Source organism: Homo sapiens, chromosome 3, assembly GCF_000001405.40.
Source record: "Homo sapiens chromosome 3, GRCh38.p14 Primary Assembly".
In the NCBI taxonomy this organism is placed as follows: domain Eukaryota; kingdom Metazoa; phylum Chordata; class Mammalia; order Primates; family Hominidae; genus Homo; species Homo sapiens.
Genome location: NC_000003.12, coordinates 80,519,470 through 80,534,434, shown reverse-complemented (window position 1 = coordinate 80,534,434; position 14,965 = coordinate 80,519,470). Strand labels below are relative to the sequence as shown.

The window sequence follows — 14,965 nt, the reverse complement described above, 5'->3', positions numbered from 1 at the left end:
AGGCTGGGCGCGGTGGTTCACGCCTGTAATCCCAGAACTTTGGGAGGCCAAGGTGGGCAGATCACCTGAGGTCGGGAGTTTGAGACCAGCCTGACTAACATGGAGAAACGCGGTATCTACTAAAAATACAAAATTAGCCGGGCGTGGTGGCACATGCCTGTAATCCCAGCTACTAGGGAGGCTGAGGCAGGAGAATCGCTTGAACCTGGGAGGCGGAGGTTGCCGTGAGCCAAGATCGCGCCATTGCACTCCAGCCTGGGGCAACAAGAGTGAAACTCTGTCTCAAAAAAAAAAAAAAAGAACTTCCCAAGATTGCGCACTTTATAAAAGGAAAGAAGTTTAATTGACTCACAGTTCCCTATGGCTGGGGAGGCCTTAGGAAACTTACAAACATGGTGGAAGGGGAATAGGCACATTTTACATGGCAGCAGGTGAGAGAGAAAAGAGTGAGGGGCGAAGGGGGAGGAGTCCCTTATAAAACTATCAGCTCTTGTGAGAACTCACTGTCATCAGAACAGCATAGGGGAAATTACCCCCAGGATCCAATCACCTCCCACCAGGTCTCTCCCTAGATACATGGGGATTACAGGGATTACAATTCAAGATGAGATATGGGTTGGGACACAGACCCAAACCGTATCAGTCATGCTGTTACTGAGCAATAGACTATAAATAGTTTTCTTCCCGGGAAACTCAAAACTCTTTTTGCGTACATATGACAAGTTGCAACTTAGTTTTTTGCCAAAGAATTTCATTCCTAATGATTGACCAATGATGAATCATTCATCCACTGATTGAGACATCAACAAATGTTTCCCTTTTTAAAAATTAAACCTTTAATTTTGAGATAATTATAGATTCATGTACAAATGGTCTCCAGAGAAGCAGAGCCAATAAGATAAATATTTGGACTTATAAAAAGAGATGTATTTTATAAGAGATTGGCTCAGGTGGTTATAAAGGCTAAGAAGTCCCATGATGTCACTGGAGGCACAGGAAAGACAGTGGTGTAGTTCTAGTCAAAACCTACAGGCCTGGGAGTCAATGGTATAAATTCTGGTCCAAGTCTAAAGACCCAAGAACCAAGAGTACCAATGCCTGTGGGCAGGAGAAGATGATGCCCTAGCTCATGCAGAGAACAGATTTCCCCTTCCTTTCCATTTTCTTCTATGAAAACCCTCCACAGATTGAATGTGCCCACTCTCTAGGTAAGGGTCATCTTTATTCAGTTTACTGATTCAAACAGTAATCTCTTCTAGAAGCACTCACAGACACACACAGGAATAATGTTTTACCAGCTACCTGAGCATTCCATAACCCACTCAAATTGACACATAAAATTAACCACCACAATCCACATGCAGGTATAAGAAATAATACGGAAATCTCAAAAGTGTACCTTTACTCAAATTCATTAAGTGTTAACATCTTGCAAATTTATACTACAATATCACAACCAGGGTGTTAATATTGATACAGTTAAGATAAATAACACCCTGGACATTGTGGCTCACACTGGAATCCTAGCACTTTGGGAGGCTGAGGCAGGAGGATTGTTTGAGCCCAGGAGTTTGAGACAGCAGTGAGCTATGATTTTGCCACTACCTTCCAGCCTGCGCAACAAAGCAAGCTTCTTCTCCAAAATAAAACAAACCAGGCCAGGAGTGGTGGCTCATGCCTGTAATCCCAGCACTTTGGGAGGCTGAGGCAGGCAGAACACAAGGTTAAGAGATAGAGACCATCCTGGCCAACATGGTGAAACGTCGTCTCTACTAAAAATATGAAAATTAGCTGCATGTGCTGAGGCACACCTGTAGTCCCAGCTACCTAGGAAGCTGAGGCAGGAGAATCAATTGAACCAGAAAAGCAGTTGTTGCAGTGAGCCAAGATCGTGCCACTGCACTCCAACCTGGTGACAGAGCGAGACTCCATCTCAAAAAAAGAAAAAAAAGAAATCCCTCAATATTATCTTAGGCTGGGCACAGTGGATCACATCTGTAATCCCAGCACATTGGGAGGTCGAGGTGGGCTAATCACGAGGTCAGGAGTTCGAGACCAGCCTGGCCAACATAGTGAAATCCCATCTTTACTAAATATACAAAAATTAGCTGGGTGTGGTGGCACATGTCTGTAATCCCAAATACTCCGGAGGCTAAGGCAGGAGAATCACTTGAACCCAGGAGGCAGAGGTTGCAATGAGCCAAGATCATGCCACTACATTCCAGCCCAGATGACAGAGTGAGACTCTGTCTCCAAAAAAAAAAAAAAAATAACATTAAATAAATAAATAAATAAAACCAAAAAAGATAAACCACATTTTCTTCACCACAGAATTCCTGCAAGTCACCCTTGTATAGCTTCATCTACTTATTTCCTTCCCCCTTAATCATTGGCAACCACTAACCTGTTCTTCATCTATAAATTATCATTCCAAGTATGTTATATAAGTAATACTATGCAGTATGTAACATGAAGGTTGGCTTTGTTACACGCAGTATAATTCTACGAAAATTCATCCATGTCATGTCAATAGTCAGTTCCTTTTTAAACACTAAGGAGTAATTCATGGTATGTGTGTCCCACAGTGTTTTAGGTCATTTGTTCATTTAAGGAAATTGGCTTGTTTTCTACTTTTTACTATTATGAATAAAGTTGCTTTAACTTATGTGTATTTAAATTCTTAAAATTACTATAGCTATATAATAAACCTTGGAATCAGGCAGAAGGATTCTTCTTACTTTATTCTTTTTGAAAGTTGTTTTAGTAATTTTACTTCTTTTGTCTTTCATATAAAATTTATAATAGTATTTTCTATGTCATAAAATTCTAGCAGTGATAAAAAATGTGTTAATTTGTATGCCAGTTTCAGGATAACTTTTATCTTTACTACACTGAGTATTCTAATATAAGAACATAGTAGGTTTCTCTATTTATTTAGAACTTCTTTGATTTTTTATCAGCATTGCATAGATTTTAATGTAAAATTTCTAAACATGTTTTATTAGATTTATACGTGACTATTTTGATTTTTAGTGATTATAAATGCTATGATACATTAATTTCTATGTCTATGCGTTCATTACTGCCATATATAACTACAAAATATTTTTATGCTTATGTAACCTGCAATTTTTCTACACTCGTTATTTATAAGCTTTTTTTATAGATTCCTTGAAGTTTTCCACATAGTGAACCCTGTCACTTCTAATTAGCAATATTTTATTTTCACAATATAAGTCTTGCACTTCACTTGTTAAATTTATTATTATTTTATTTCTTTAGATACTATTGAAAACAGAATTATTTTCTTATTTTTAATTATAGAATGTCTACTTTTAGTTTTATAGAAATACAACTGATTCTTGTGTGCTGATCTTTTAAAAGGCAACTTTGGTAAAATCATTTATTATTTCTAACAGTTTATGAATTCCTTGTGATTTTCTTATATATAATATCTCATTTGTAAATACAGATCATTTTAATTTTTCCCTTCTAATTTGGAGGAATTTTATTTATTTCACTTTCTTAATTGTTCTATCAAGAATGTCAAGCAAAATGTTGCAGAGAAGGGGCAAAATGGCCATACTTGTCTATTCATGATTTAAGGGGAAGCTTTCAATGTTTTACCATTAAGTATAATGTTAGCTGGGGTTTTTAAAAAAATAATTATACCTTTATCATAATGAGGAAATTTTTGTTTTTATAGTTCTAGCTTCTTGAGTATTTTTGTAATGAAATGTCATTGATTTGTGTGAAATACATTTTTATACATTAATTGCAGTAATCTTTCACCCTCCTTCTATATATTAACGTGTTGTATTACATTAATTATTTTTGTATGTTGAGCCACCTTTACACCCCTGGAATCCAACTTGGTCATAGTCTGTAATCTTCTTATTATTCTGCTGGAATCAATTTGCATTTTGTTGAAAAATTTTAAACCTGCATTAATGAGAGGAATTTAAATACAGCTTTCTTTTCTTATGATGTCTTTGTTATCAGAGTGTACCCACCCAGTGGGTTCACCTTGCCCACTGCCTAGACGGAATCGATTTATCAAGATGGGGGAATTGCAATAGACAAAGAGTTATTCATGCAGAGCCCCCTGTGTGGGAGACCAGAGTTGTATTTACTACCGAAATCTGTCTCCCCAAGCATTCAGGAATCAAGGGTAATTTGGTGGGTAGGGGTCAGTGAGTCAGTAGTGCTAATTGGTTGTTCCGGAGATGAAATCACAGGGAGTTGAAGTGCTGAGTCAGTTCCTGGGTGGGGGCCACAAGATCACATGAGCCAGTTTATTGATCTGGGTGGTGCCAGCTGATCCATCAAGTGCAGGGTGTGCAAAATCTCTCAAGCACTAATTTTCGGTTTTACAATAATGATGTTATCCCAGGACCAATTTGCAGAGGTTTCGAATCTTGCAGCCTTCAGCTCCTAAACTATAATTTCTAATCTTTTGGCTAATTTGTTAGTCCTACAAAGGCAGTCTAGTCTCCAGACAAGAAGAGGGTTTGTTTGCAGCAAGGTTTATTATAATCTTTGTTTCAACGTATGAACTATAAATAAAGTTCCTCTCAAAGTTAATTCAGCCTACACCCAGGAATGAACAAGGACAGCTTGGAGGTTAGAGGCAAGATGGAGATTGTTAGGTCAGATCTCTTTCACTGTCACAGTTATAATTTTGCAACGGAGATTTCAAAGGCAATGCTTAACTCAGTTAATGTTAGGAGGTGTTCCCTCCTTTTCTATTTTTTGAAAGAGTTTGAGAAGTTTGGATTTAAATTATTTAAATCATCGTTAGCATTCAGATGTGAAGCCATCTGGTTCTGGACTTTTCTTAACAGATAACTTCTGAATACTGATTCAATTTCTTGAATCAGTTATACTTCTGCTCAGATTTTCTATTTCTTTTTGACTCAGTTTTAGATGGATTTTGTGTTTCTTGAAAGCTGTCAATTTCATACAGGTTATTTAATCTGTTGGCATAAAACTTTTCATAGTATTCTCTACTCTGTATTCATGGCCTTGCTTTAAATTCCGATGTTGGTCACTTGATTCTTCTCTTTTTTTCTTTGTCAGTCTAGCTAAATTTACCAATTTTGTTCATCTTTTCAAAGAACCAAACTTTATCTCTTTAATGTTTTTTATATTTCATATTTCTTTTATCTGAGCTCTAATTATTATTTCCCTCTTGTGGTTTATCTTGACCTTCATATTCTAGTTTCTAGAGGCAGAAATTTTTAGGTTGTCCATTTCAGATCTTAATTTTCTTTTAATATAGGTATTTGAAGCTCCAAATTTCTCTCTGAGCATTATTTCCACTAGATTCCATTAGCTTTGGAATATCATGCTTTTGTTTTCTTTTTTATTCAAGTAAAAGTATTTAACAATTTTACTTGCAATATTTTCCTTTACTCATTGGTTGTTTAAAAGATTTCTGCTTAATTATCACATTGTAATTTTTCTTTTCTATTTGATTTAAAACAAATGCATAAAATCATAATTAAAACATATTAGTAGACACACAATGTATATAATTTGTGACAATAACAACATAAAAGGTGGTGATATGGTTGGGCTGTGTCCCTACACAAATCTCATCTTGACTTTCCAGGTGTTGTAGGAGGGACTTGGTGGGAGGTAATTGAATCATGGGGGCAGGGCTTTCCCATGCTGTTCTGGTGATAGTGAGTAAGTCTCAGGACAGCTTGATGGTATTATAAGGGGAAGTTTTCCTGCACAAGCTCACTTTTTGCCTGCTGCCATCCATGTAAGATGTGACTTGCTCCTCCTTGCCTTCCACCATGATTGTGAGGCCTCCCCAGCTATGTGGAACTGTGAGTCTATTAAACCTTCCTCTTGTATAAATTAACCAGTCTCAGGTATATCTTTATTAGCAGCATGAAAACAAACTAATACAGGGAATAAATCTGTAAAGGAGAAGAGCTTTTGTATACTATTGAACCTATTTAGTATTAATTCAAACTTGATTATTGTAATAGTAAAATGTTAGTTACCACAGGATTAAAAAGCCAATATGCAATAATATTTGCTACCTTTTAAATTTATCTTTGTATTTACCATTATTGTTTTTATATTTCTTCATTTGGATTGAAGTTATTGTTGAGTGTCCCTTCATTTCTATCTGAAGAACTATCTTTAATATGTTAAATCAAACTAAATATGACCTGAGAAGGAATCTGTAATTCCATATTTGAGTTCTTGTGGACAAACTGCAACCTAACTTAATAGGTAGACAAGATTGAAAACATAATTCAGGAGTATGCACCTGTAACAACAGCTGAGTCTGGCCAATCACAACAGCCATACTTCAACCACTCATACACTACTGAGTGTTCACACTGTGTCCAAATACAGCAAACACCAACCTGTAACCAATTCAGCTGTTTTTGTACCTCACTTCTGATTTCTATATGTCACTTTCCCTTTTTTGTCTATAAATTTGTTCTGTCCATGAGGCATCCCTAGAGTCCCTCTGAATCTGCTATTATTCTGGAAGCTGCCTGAATTATTATTTTTTGGCTCAGTTAAACTCCATTAAATTGAATTTGTCTCGAGTTTTATTTTAACAAGTATTTTGTGGAAAGCAGGTCTATTCATGATGAAATTTCTCATTTATTCTTTATCTGGGAATGTCTTAATTTCTCCTTCATTTTTGAATTTTAGTTTTGCCAGATATAAGAATTCTCAGTTCATAGTTTTTTTTCTTTCAGCATTTATACATTATTCCACTTATTTTTGGCCTTAATATTTTCATTGAGAAATTAGCCATTAATCATTTGAGGATCCATTGTACATTAAGAGTCAATTCTCTCCTGGCATTTCAAGATTCTCTGTCTTTGGCTTTTGACAATTTTTGACTATAATGTTTCTTGAAGTGGGTATCTTTGGGTTTATACTGCTAGGAGTTTGCTGAGTTTCTTGGATGCATAGCTTCCTGTCTTTCATTAAATTTTGGAATTTTTTGAGCACTACTTTTCAAATATTTTTAACCTTTTGTTTTTCTTCTCTCTTTCTAGGACTTTCATTATACATATACCATTATGCTTGATAGTTTTCCACAGCCCTCTAAACCTCCATATATTATTCTTTTTTGTTGTTATGTTTGCTGTTGTTTTTAACCTTTGTCCTCAGACTAGATGATCTCAAATAACTTACCATCAAGTTTGCTCATTCTTTCTTGTTTTCACATCTTTTGTTAAACCTCTCTAGTGAATGTTTTAATTTTAGTTGGACTTTCTAGCTTCAGAATTTTTGGTTCATTTTTATAATTTCTGTTTGTTTAATTGATATTTTCTATTTAATAAGCCATTGATTTTCTAGTTTCATCGAGTCCTTTCTTTATAGTTCTGTTAGCTCTTTGAAGGTATTTAGGACAGTTGATTTAGTGTTGTTTTAGTCTATTCAGGCTGCTGTAATAAAATATCATAAACTGGGTGGCTTATAAACAACAGAAATTTATATCTTACAGCTCTAGAGGCTAGGAGGTCCAAGACGAAGGTGCTGGCAGATTCAGTGTCTGGCTCTACTTCCTGCTTCATGGAATAGAACCTACTATGTCCTCACATGGTGAAAGAGACAAGGCATTTTGCTGGGGCCTCTTTTATGAGCCCACCAATCCCATTCCTAAAGCCTCCATCCCCATGACTGAATCACCTTCAATTACTTTACCTGTTAATACCATCACACTGGGGATTAGATTTAGACTTGTGAATTTTGGGAGGACACAAATATTCACACCATAGGAGGTGTCTTTATCTAATAAATCTAATGTCTGCACTTCCCTGACTGTTTTTATTAGTTTCTTTTATTCCCTGTGAATGTGCCATACTGCGTTGGCTTTTTTTTGGGAATATTATAATGTGAACTTTATACAATACTGAATGTTCACGCTGTGTTCTGTGGACTTTTTGAATATTATAATATGAAGACTCTGAAAATCAGATTATTCATCCCCAAGAAGTATATTTTTGCTGCTTGTTGTGGGTGGTGGTTGTTTTTTCTTGTTTGTTTAGAGTCCTACTAAGCTATTTTGCAAAGTCTGTATTTTGTCAATGCGGCCATGGAAGTCTGTTCTTTAGCTTAGCGCCACCTATTGTTTCGATAGTTTCCTTTTTTTTCCAGAAAAGAAAACAAAGCAAAACAAAAATACAGTACTCTCTTAATCTTTGCATATTGGATCTGTGTCTGAGCATATCTTTACTGCTTATCAGGCCATTTACAAATCTGCCTTAACCTTTACTTATAGCTTGCTTAGAGATTGAAGGTTCACAGAGGTGAACATTTAAGATCTTCTCAGGTCTTTTATGAGCATGTGCCTAGCCTTGGGCATGCATGTTGCCTTCTGTTATTTCCTAATATACCTGGGAGCTTTATAAGTCCCTTATTTCTAATGATTCTCCTTCTCTAACCTCTTTTCAAAATTTTTGGTCTGTCTATTATTTGTCCAGTTCTGTTTCTCCCTGTCCCCAGGCTACTACAGTCAATAATTTATTTAGCATTTGAATGTTTTCAGCAAAAAGTCCCCAGAAAGACACGCCAGCCCTGTGAATGTTTCAAATTAGGTGAAACAAAGGCAATCACTTGTGTCCTTCCTGAAGGGAGCCTCCAGAAAACAGGCAGAAGCACACAGCCACAATTCTTTGAGAAGATGGTCTGTCTTGCTAACTCTGATACTCAAAAACTGCACCAAGAGTATAGGCTGCTGTCTTCATAGCTTCTGCCCATCTGAGAAGAGTGAAATAGTAGGCAGTCATTTTTAAGAGCAACAGAACTCTTACTACAATGCAAAAGCTTCTTTCTTCATTAAGTTTGGTATTGTCTGTGTAATTTTCTGACTGGATTCCAGAGTCTGCAGAAGCAAATTCAGAGATTTTCCTCACTTATTAGTTGCAAAAGTGCAGAGATAGAGCCCTAGAGTTCCCTATTCTGCCATTTTTAGTAATATCAATCCACTGTTCACTTTTATATTGTTTTTTAATATATTATTTCACTTATTTCTGCATAGTACAGTGAGTGCTCAGATCCTCAGAAGACGCTACTACTGTTGTTTTACCATATTATCATAATAACACATTTTTCCAATTATAATTCATGCATTCACTGCTACTTTCCACTCTGGGAAGTGAAATAGAAGATAATTTCAATGGAAAATCATATTTTTGCCTCAGCTGGCAAGAAATAATGGTAATAGGCATCATATAAGCAGAATCCATAAATCAAAATAAGATAAAATGAAACTAAAATTATTACAGTGACTTCATCAGCAAAACATAATTCAAAAATTACATTATATGGTGCAATTAGCCTATATGGATTCAGGCATTCCCTGTATGTGGTTCTTGAATATTTTTGTCAACTGACATTACATTTCCCTGAGGAAACTTCATGTTAGAAAATGTATTAAGAATTAGTGCCAGTATTTTTCTGTGGAGTGTTACCTTTCTGTGTGCAGAAATTACGTGACTTACAAAACCTATTTCATTTCCAATATTGGTACCTCTAATAAAATAAGGAAATAGAAGAAAATTGACATAAAGGAGGCTTATTTAACATTTATTTATTTGCCTTTCCAATAATCCTTATTGTTAATTGCTTTTACAATATTAGTTCTTATATGAATGCGAAATATTTATGAAATTAGAGAATATTAACTTTTTAAAATTCAATATGTTGTAAAATCTAAAGGTATGCAATAACTGCCATAATTATAGATCAAAATCAAAGTTTATTTTATTACTCTTGTTTTTCTAAAAAGAGGATGCATATTACCAGTGTTACCAGCGAACAATATTTTTCAGTACGTTAAATCTCTACTGATGGTAGAATACTCATCTAAAGTTAAAATGTATCATTGTCTTGGCAACTACAATTAGAAATTAATGCATACATTCTTACTAGTTCAACATATATGAAAATAGAGTAGCTATTCATAGCAAATTTTACCAAAAATTTTGTTGCTAAAATGATAACATGTCTTTCACCACATAATATGTTATATAGTATTAATCTCATGATATTTCACTCTTTCCAAATAAAGGAAAATATATAAAGATAATTGAACAGTGGACTAGTTAACTTTTCTCTTGGCTGGCTCAAAAAAATCAGCTCATATTCTTGATTATCAAAATATAAAGACATACTAATTTGACGGATTTAAACCTTCTCTAACTTTCTTTGAGATGATATACTTCCTTCTTTCCATAGAAGTTAAGTTTCAAATATTTCAACACTGCTAAGGAATAATCAGGGTCTATTTCATCCCTTCTGTTCTTCCCTGTTTTAATCTGTTTTCAACTTTTTCCTCTTTCCATTTTTCTCTTTCTCATTGATTTTTAAAATAAAGTTGATGCCGTGCGCGTTGGCTCATGCTTGTAATCCTAACACTTTGGTAGGCCAAGGCAGGTGGATCACCTGAGGTCAGGAGTTCAAGACCAGCCTGGCCCACATGGCGAAACCCCGTCTTTACTAAAAATGCAAAAAATTAGCTGGGCATGGTGGCGGGCACCTGTAATCCCAGCTACTCAGGAGGCTGAGGCAGGAGAATCACTTGAACCTGGGGGGCAGAGGTTGCAGTGAGCTGAGATTGTACCACTTCACTCAAGCCTGGGCAAAAGAGCAAAACTCCATCTAAAAAAAAAAAAATGAAAAAGAAAAAGAAAATAAATTTGTTTATAAGGACAGAATTTTGAGAACTTCTCCCCCCAAAATATCTCCATCCTATAAGACTGATAGCCACTCATGATATTTTAGTACCCTATTTAATAAGAATTTACTTTCTGACAGGATTATTTTCACATGCTTGCTAAAATCTATAGCTAATTACAAACTGTGTTGAGGTTTATTTATTTCAATAATATTCGTGTATTTATGCTCAAGCTTCATTCAGGACTTTTGTCACACAAGAAGTTTGTTTAAAAAATAGCTCAACCATTTGCAAATTGAGGGGAATTCCAAAATAGAAGGAAAAGAGGAAAACAGTAATAACTACAGAATAAAAGAAAAGATCTCAACTTGAATAGAGAGAAGAGAAAAATATAACCCAAAGACGACTTGGGAATAGTAAGTCTTGGTTTGTATATTACAATGAGTTGATTCGCTACTGGCTCACAAAAAGTCCATTCTGATCAGTCTACTTTTAGCAAGCTGACTAGTGACATCAAGTAAAGGAATTCTAGTTGTTGTAAATTCTCCCAAGCCCTTGAACTTTTAGATGTGCAACAGCCAAAGTTTTCTAAATATTGCCTAGTTTCTTCCATTAATGGTTCCTCCTTACTTAGGAATGTTATGCACCCTCTTCTATTTAAGACTATCTTCAGATAAAGTTTTTATACTACTTAATATCGTTCAGCAAATGATCACTATTTTTCCCATTCCCCTATGGGTGAAGTATACTTCTATATCCCATTATGACAAAAAAAAAAAAACCTCACAGTTTCTTAGAAAGCGTGATATATTAATAAACAATATTCTCTCTGATACCCAAGGTTTATTTCTTTTCATGAAGAGGAAGAAAAGGAAGAGATTAAAATCAGGAATTTGCAGTCAGTATCTTAAGTTAGGGCTCCTAGAAAAGAGCCTGATTTAGGGACTCGGGTGCATGTGATTTGTTGAAGGAATGCTCCCACGAAAAAGTGGTCGAGGAAAACAGGATAAAGAAAGAAAGGACAATCAGCGAAAATGGGATTCCAGCTAGAATCTGGCTTCAGGTTTATCGTGCAGGGTGCTCTGAAGCATGAATTGTACCATAGAATTAATTTCACATTAAAGCAAGGAGTTCACTACATTTATACGCTTATGCCATTCAGTCTTTGGTTGAAGGATTCCAACCCCATCACCACCACTCAGAATTATGTAAAGTAGCTCCTCATTTGGTACAGTGGAATACTGTTGATTTTTTAAACAATGCCATAACTTCTGTTTTTTTAATTGTTTATTTGTATTGAGGTATCCTTGACAAATAAAAACACATGTATTTACAGAGTACAACATGATACCCTTATATATAAATGCATTGTGCAATAGTTAAATCAAGCTAATTAACATATCCTTCATCAGACATATGCATCATTTCTGTGTTGAGAAAAGTTATGATCTTCTGTCAGCAATTTTCAAGTATACAATACATTATTACTAACTGTAGACACTGCGCTCTATAATAGATCTCCAGCCGTTGTCTAATGGAAACTTTATGTGCTTTGACGTACATCTTCCCATCTCCCTTGACCCCCCAGACTCTAGCAAACCCCATTCTACTTTTTGTTTCTATGACTTCCAATTTTCTAGATTTCACACGAGTGAGTTGTTATAGGAAATGTCTTTTATGTGTCTGGCTTATTTCATTTGTCATAATATCCTGTAGATCCATCCATGTTATTGCCAATGACAGGATTTTCCCCCTTCTTAAGGCTGAATAGTATTCCATTTTTAGCAAAAGGATTTATCTTGAAAAGATACCTCAAAATATTGAAATGTATAATTTTCTGTTACATAAACACTTTTGATCAGGAGAGAGTAAAAAAAAAACCCTTGGGAAAAAAAAATAATGTGAGTTAAAAGTATCAGAGCGGTAAGCTAACTCTGAAGGCATTTTTGCCATTGGAGAATTTTGCTAGTATCAAGAAATAGTAAACTGGTATATTAAGGACCAAAAATAACAGCTGATGTTGCCTTGGATGAATTTGAAAACAATACAATATTCAAAGTGGGGGCTTTCAAATGTCAAATCCCTAGTGAAATAATGGAATTATTTTTAAAATAAAAATCACAGAGGAACAGGACAAAGAAGCCTGTCTGCCTTCATGTGGGTTCTAGGCAGAAAACAAAGTCTTCCCTGGAAATATGTAACTGAGACTTACTTCTGTACTATTTTATAATTTAAATTTGCATAATCTAGTAAATTACAAACTGAAAATGTAATAATTTTTCCAAGATTGGTAGTGCCCCAGAAAATCTAATAGAAATATATATAAAACACCTCTAGAGGTTCCCAAAAAGATTCCCACAGATAAAACCCATGTCTGTCACATGCTCAAAATCCAATATTACAGGTTTTATTGTGTCTGCTTCCAAGCATGATGAAATAAAGTACCAGATGACAAACCCTGCAAATTAAACAATAAAACCTGCATGGGATACAAAAACAAACAAAAATGCCCTGACTCTCTGAAAGAGCTGAAGAGTGAAGAGAAGCAAACTGACCCTGGTAGGAAGTATGTGCTTGCTTGGAGGAGAGGAGGTGAGGAGCCATTACAGTATGTTTCTCTTTGCTGGGGGCTTTACAGCTACAGAGGAAGCACTAGTGGAAAAGTCTGCCTTCTAGCCTGAAAACCAGAAAACTAAAGGGCAAAATAGTTTACATGTAGCACCGTTTTTTGTTTTTTGTTTTCTGTTTTTTTGTCTGTTTGTTTGTTTTTTTTCTTTTTTTTAGAAGGAGTTTCACTCCTGTCGCCCAGGCTGGAATGCAATGGCACTATCTTGGTTCACTGCAACCTCCATCTCCCAGGCTCAAGTGATTCTCCTGTCTCAGCCTCCCAAGTAGCTGGTACTACAAGCATGCCCCACCACCCCTGGCTAACTTTGTATTTTTAGTAGAGATGGGTTTCACCATATTGGTCATGCTGGTCTTGAACTCCTGACCTCAGATGATCCACCCACCTAGCCTTCTCGAAGTAATGGGATTACAGGCGTGAGCCACTGCACCCAACCAGCACCATTTCTTTATTAGGATGCGTGTTCTTTAACCCAGCCACCATGTTGTAAGTGTTGGGATTCAGAAAGCAAGACCGCCAAATATGCCATTTTGACATGCTAAACTGAAGAAGCCTCAAGGTCTCTCTGACCTCTCTCTTCATTTTCTCTTCCAAAGAAGCTGAAGTTCCTGTATCTGCCTACGATCCAGACCCACCAAGGAGGACGACAGTGTTTTTCTTTTCTTCCCCTCCACGTTATCTCATTATCTGTAGCAGAAAAGAAGACCAAGATGTGGCTACACCCGAGCAGACCTTTTTCCATGTATAAAGACTGTCTCAAAGGATCATTTAAATTTCACGAACTATTTACAAGTTAATAGTTTGATTGTTCCTGGACCCAATTATTCTCCCTATCAATCATTTAAAATCAATTTTAACATTGTGGTAGTAGAATTTTTTCCTTTAACTGATATTATATTAAAACATTCCACAATTGAACACGTATTAACTCTTAAGTATGTATAGCCTCCCGTGACCATTTGTGTATGAAATCCATTCAAACCATACAATATCACAATCTAAATCTTTTTACTTACAGTCATGTTATAATACTCTGGATTTAAGTCTTACTTTTTATGGTTTACATATCATACTCTGTAGAATAGCTAAGCATATTATTAGAAATGAGACTTTTGTGCAATTTTCACCCACATTCGATTTATAGACAAACTGATATTCTTTTCACACAGCAAAAGAATTCAGCCTGGCATCTTTAGGAAATGAAAAACTGGTTGCCAGAGGGAAGGAACCTAAATTTTTTCAATGTGGTTATTATATATATTGTAGGCCAGGCCTTTTTCCCAAGTAAGGAGAAGGGGAGACTCATATATATATATTTTTATTTTTAATAAAAATTTGACTTGGGAAATTTATGAATTTATTTTAGTGACTCAGTATTAACACAGTATTTTAATTTTGTTTTATTGCAGAACCGCATGCATTTTTTAGAAATAATAAAATGAAATATATAATACTTCTAATATTTTCATGGTCATGCAAGAAACTACACCTTTACAATATTAGCCGACGTCGGCAGTGCTTGAAATAAGATATTCTCATGTATCAAAATGAATGACTAACGAGGGACATAAATTGACTAAGAAAACAAGATAAACTGCCAATAAATGTTCAAGAAGGAAAGTTTACTAATGCACTTCTCTATGCCATTTGACTGCAAATGAAGTGATGGCTAT

General features: G+C 35.4%; 1 long non-coding RNA gene across 2 annotated transcripts in view, besides 1 other annotated feature; it reads left to right on the top strand.

Annotated features, from left to right (window-relative positions):
• LOC105377177 (uncharacterized) overlaps positions 1-14,210 on the top strand; it is a 250,124-nt gene extending 235,914 nt beyond the window's left edge. The window contains exon 4 of one of the 2 annotated variants that reach the window (XR_940994.3): positions 13,892-14,210. This is a non-coding gene — a long non-coding RNA (uncharacterized LOC105377177). Of the gene's footprint in view, positions 1-13,888 lie in introns of both variants that reach the window. The other variant, XR_940993.3, reaches the window with a different exon arrangement.
• Positions 3,422-4,621: an enhancer, noted in NCBI's record as "CDK7 strongly-dependent group 2 enhancer chr3:80578964-80580163 (GRCh37/hg19 assembly coordinates)". NCBI's record gives its function as "activates an origin of replication core promoter dependent on BRD2, BRD4, P300/CBP, MED14 and CDK7 cofactors, with strong dependence on CDK7, by STARR-seq in HCT116 cells {active_cell/tissue: HCT116}" and the evidence as "EXISTENCE:reporter gene assay evidence [ECO:0000049][PMID:35650434]".
• Positions 14,211-14,965: the final 755 nt, after the last annotated feature.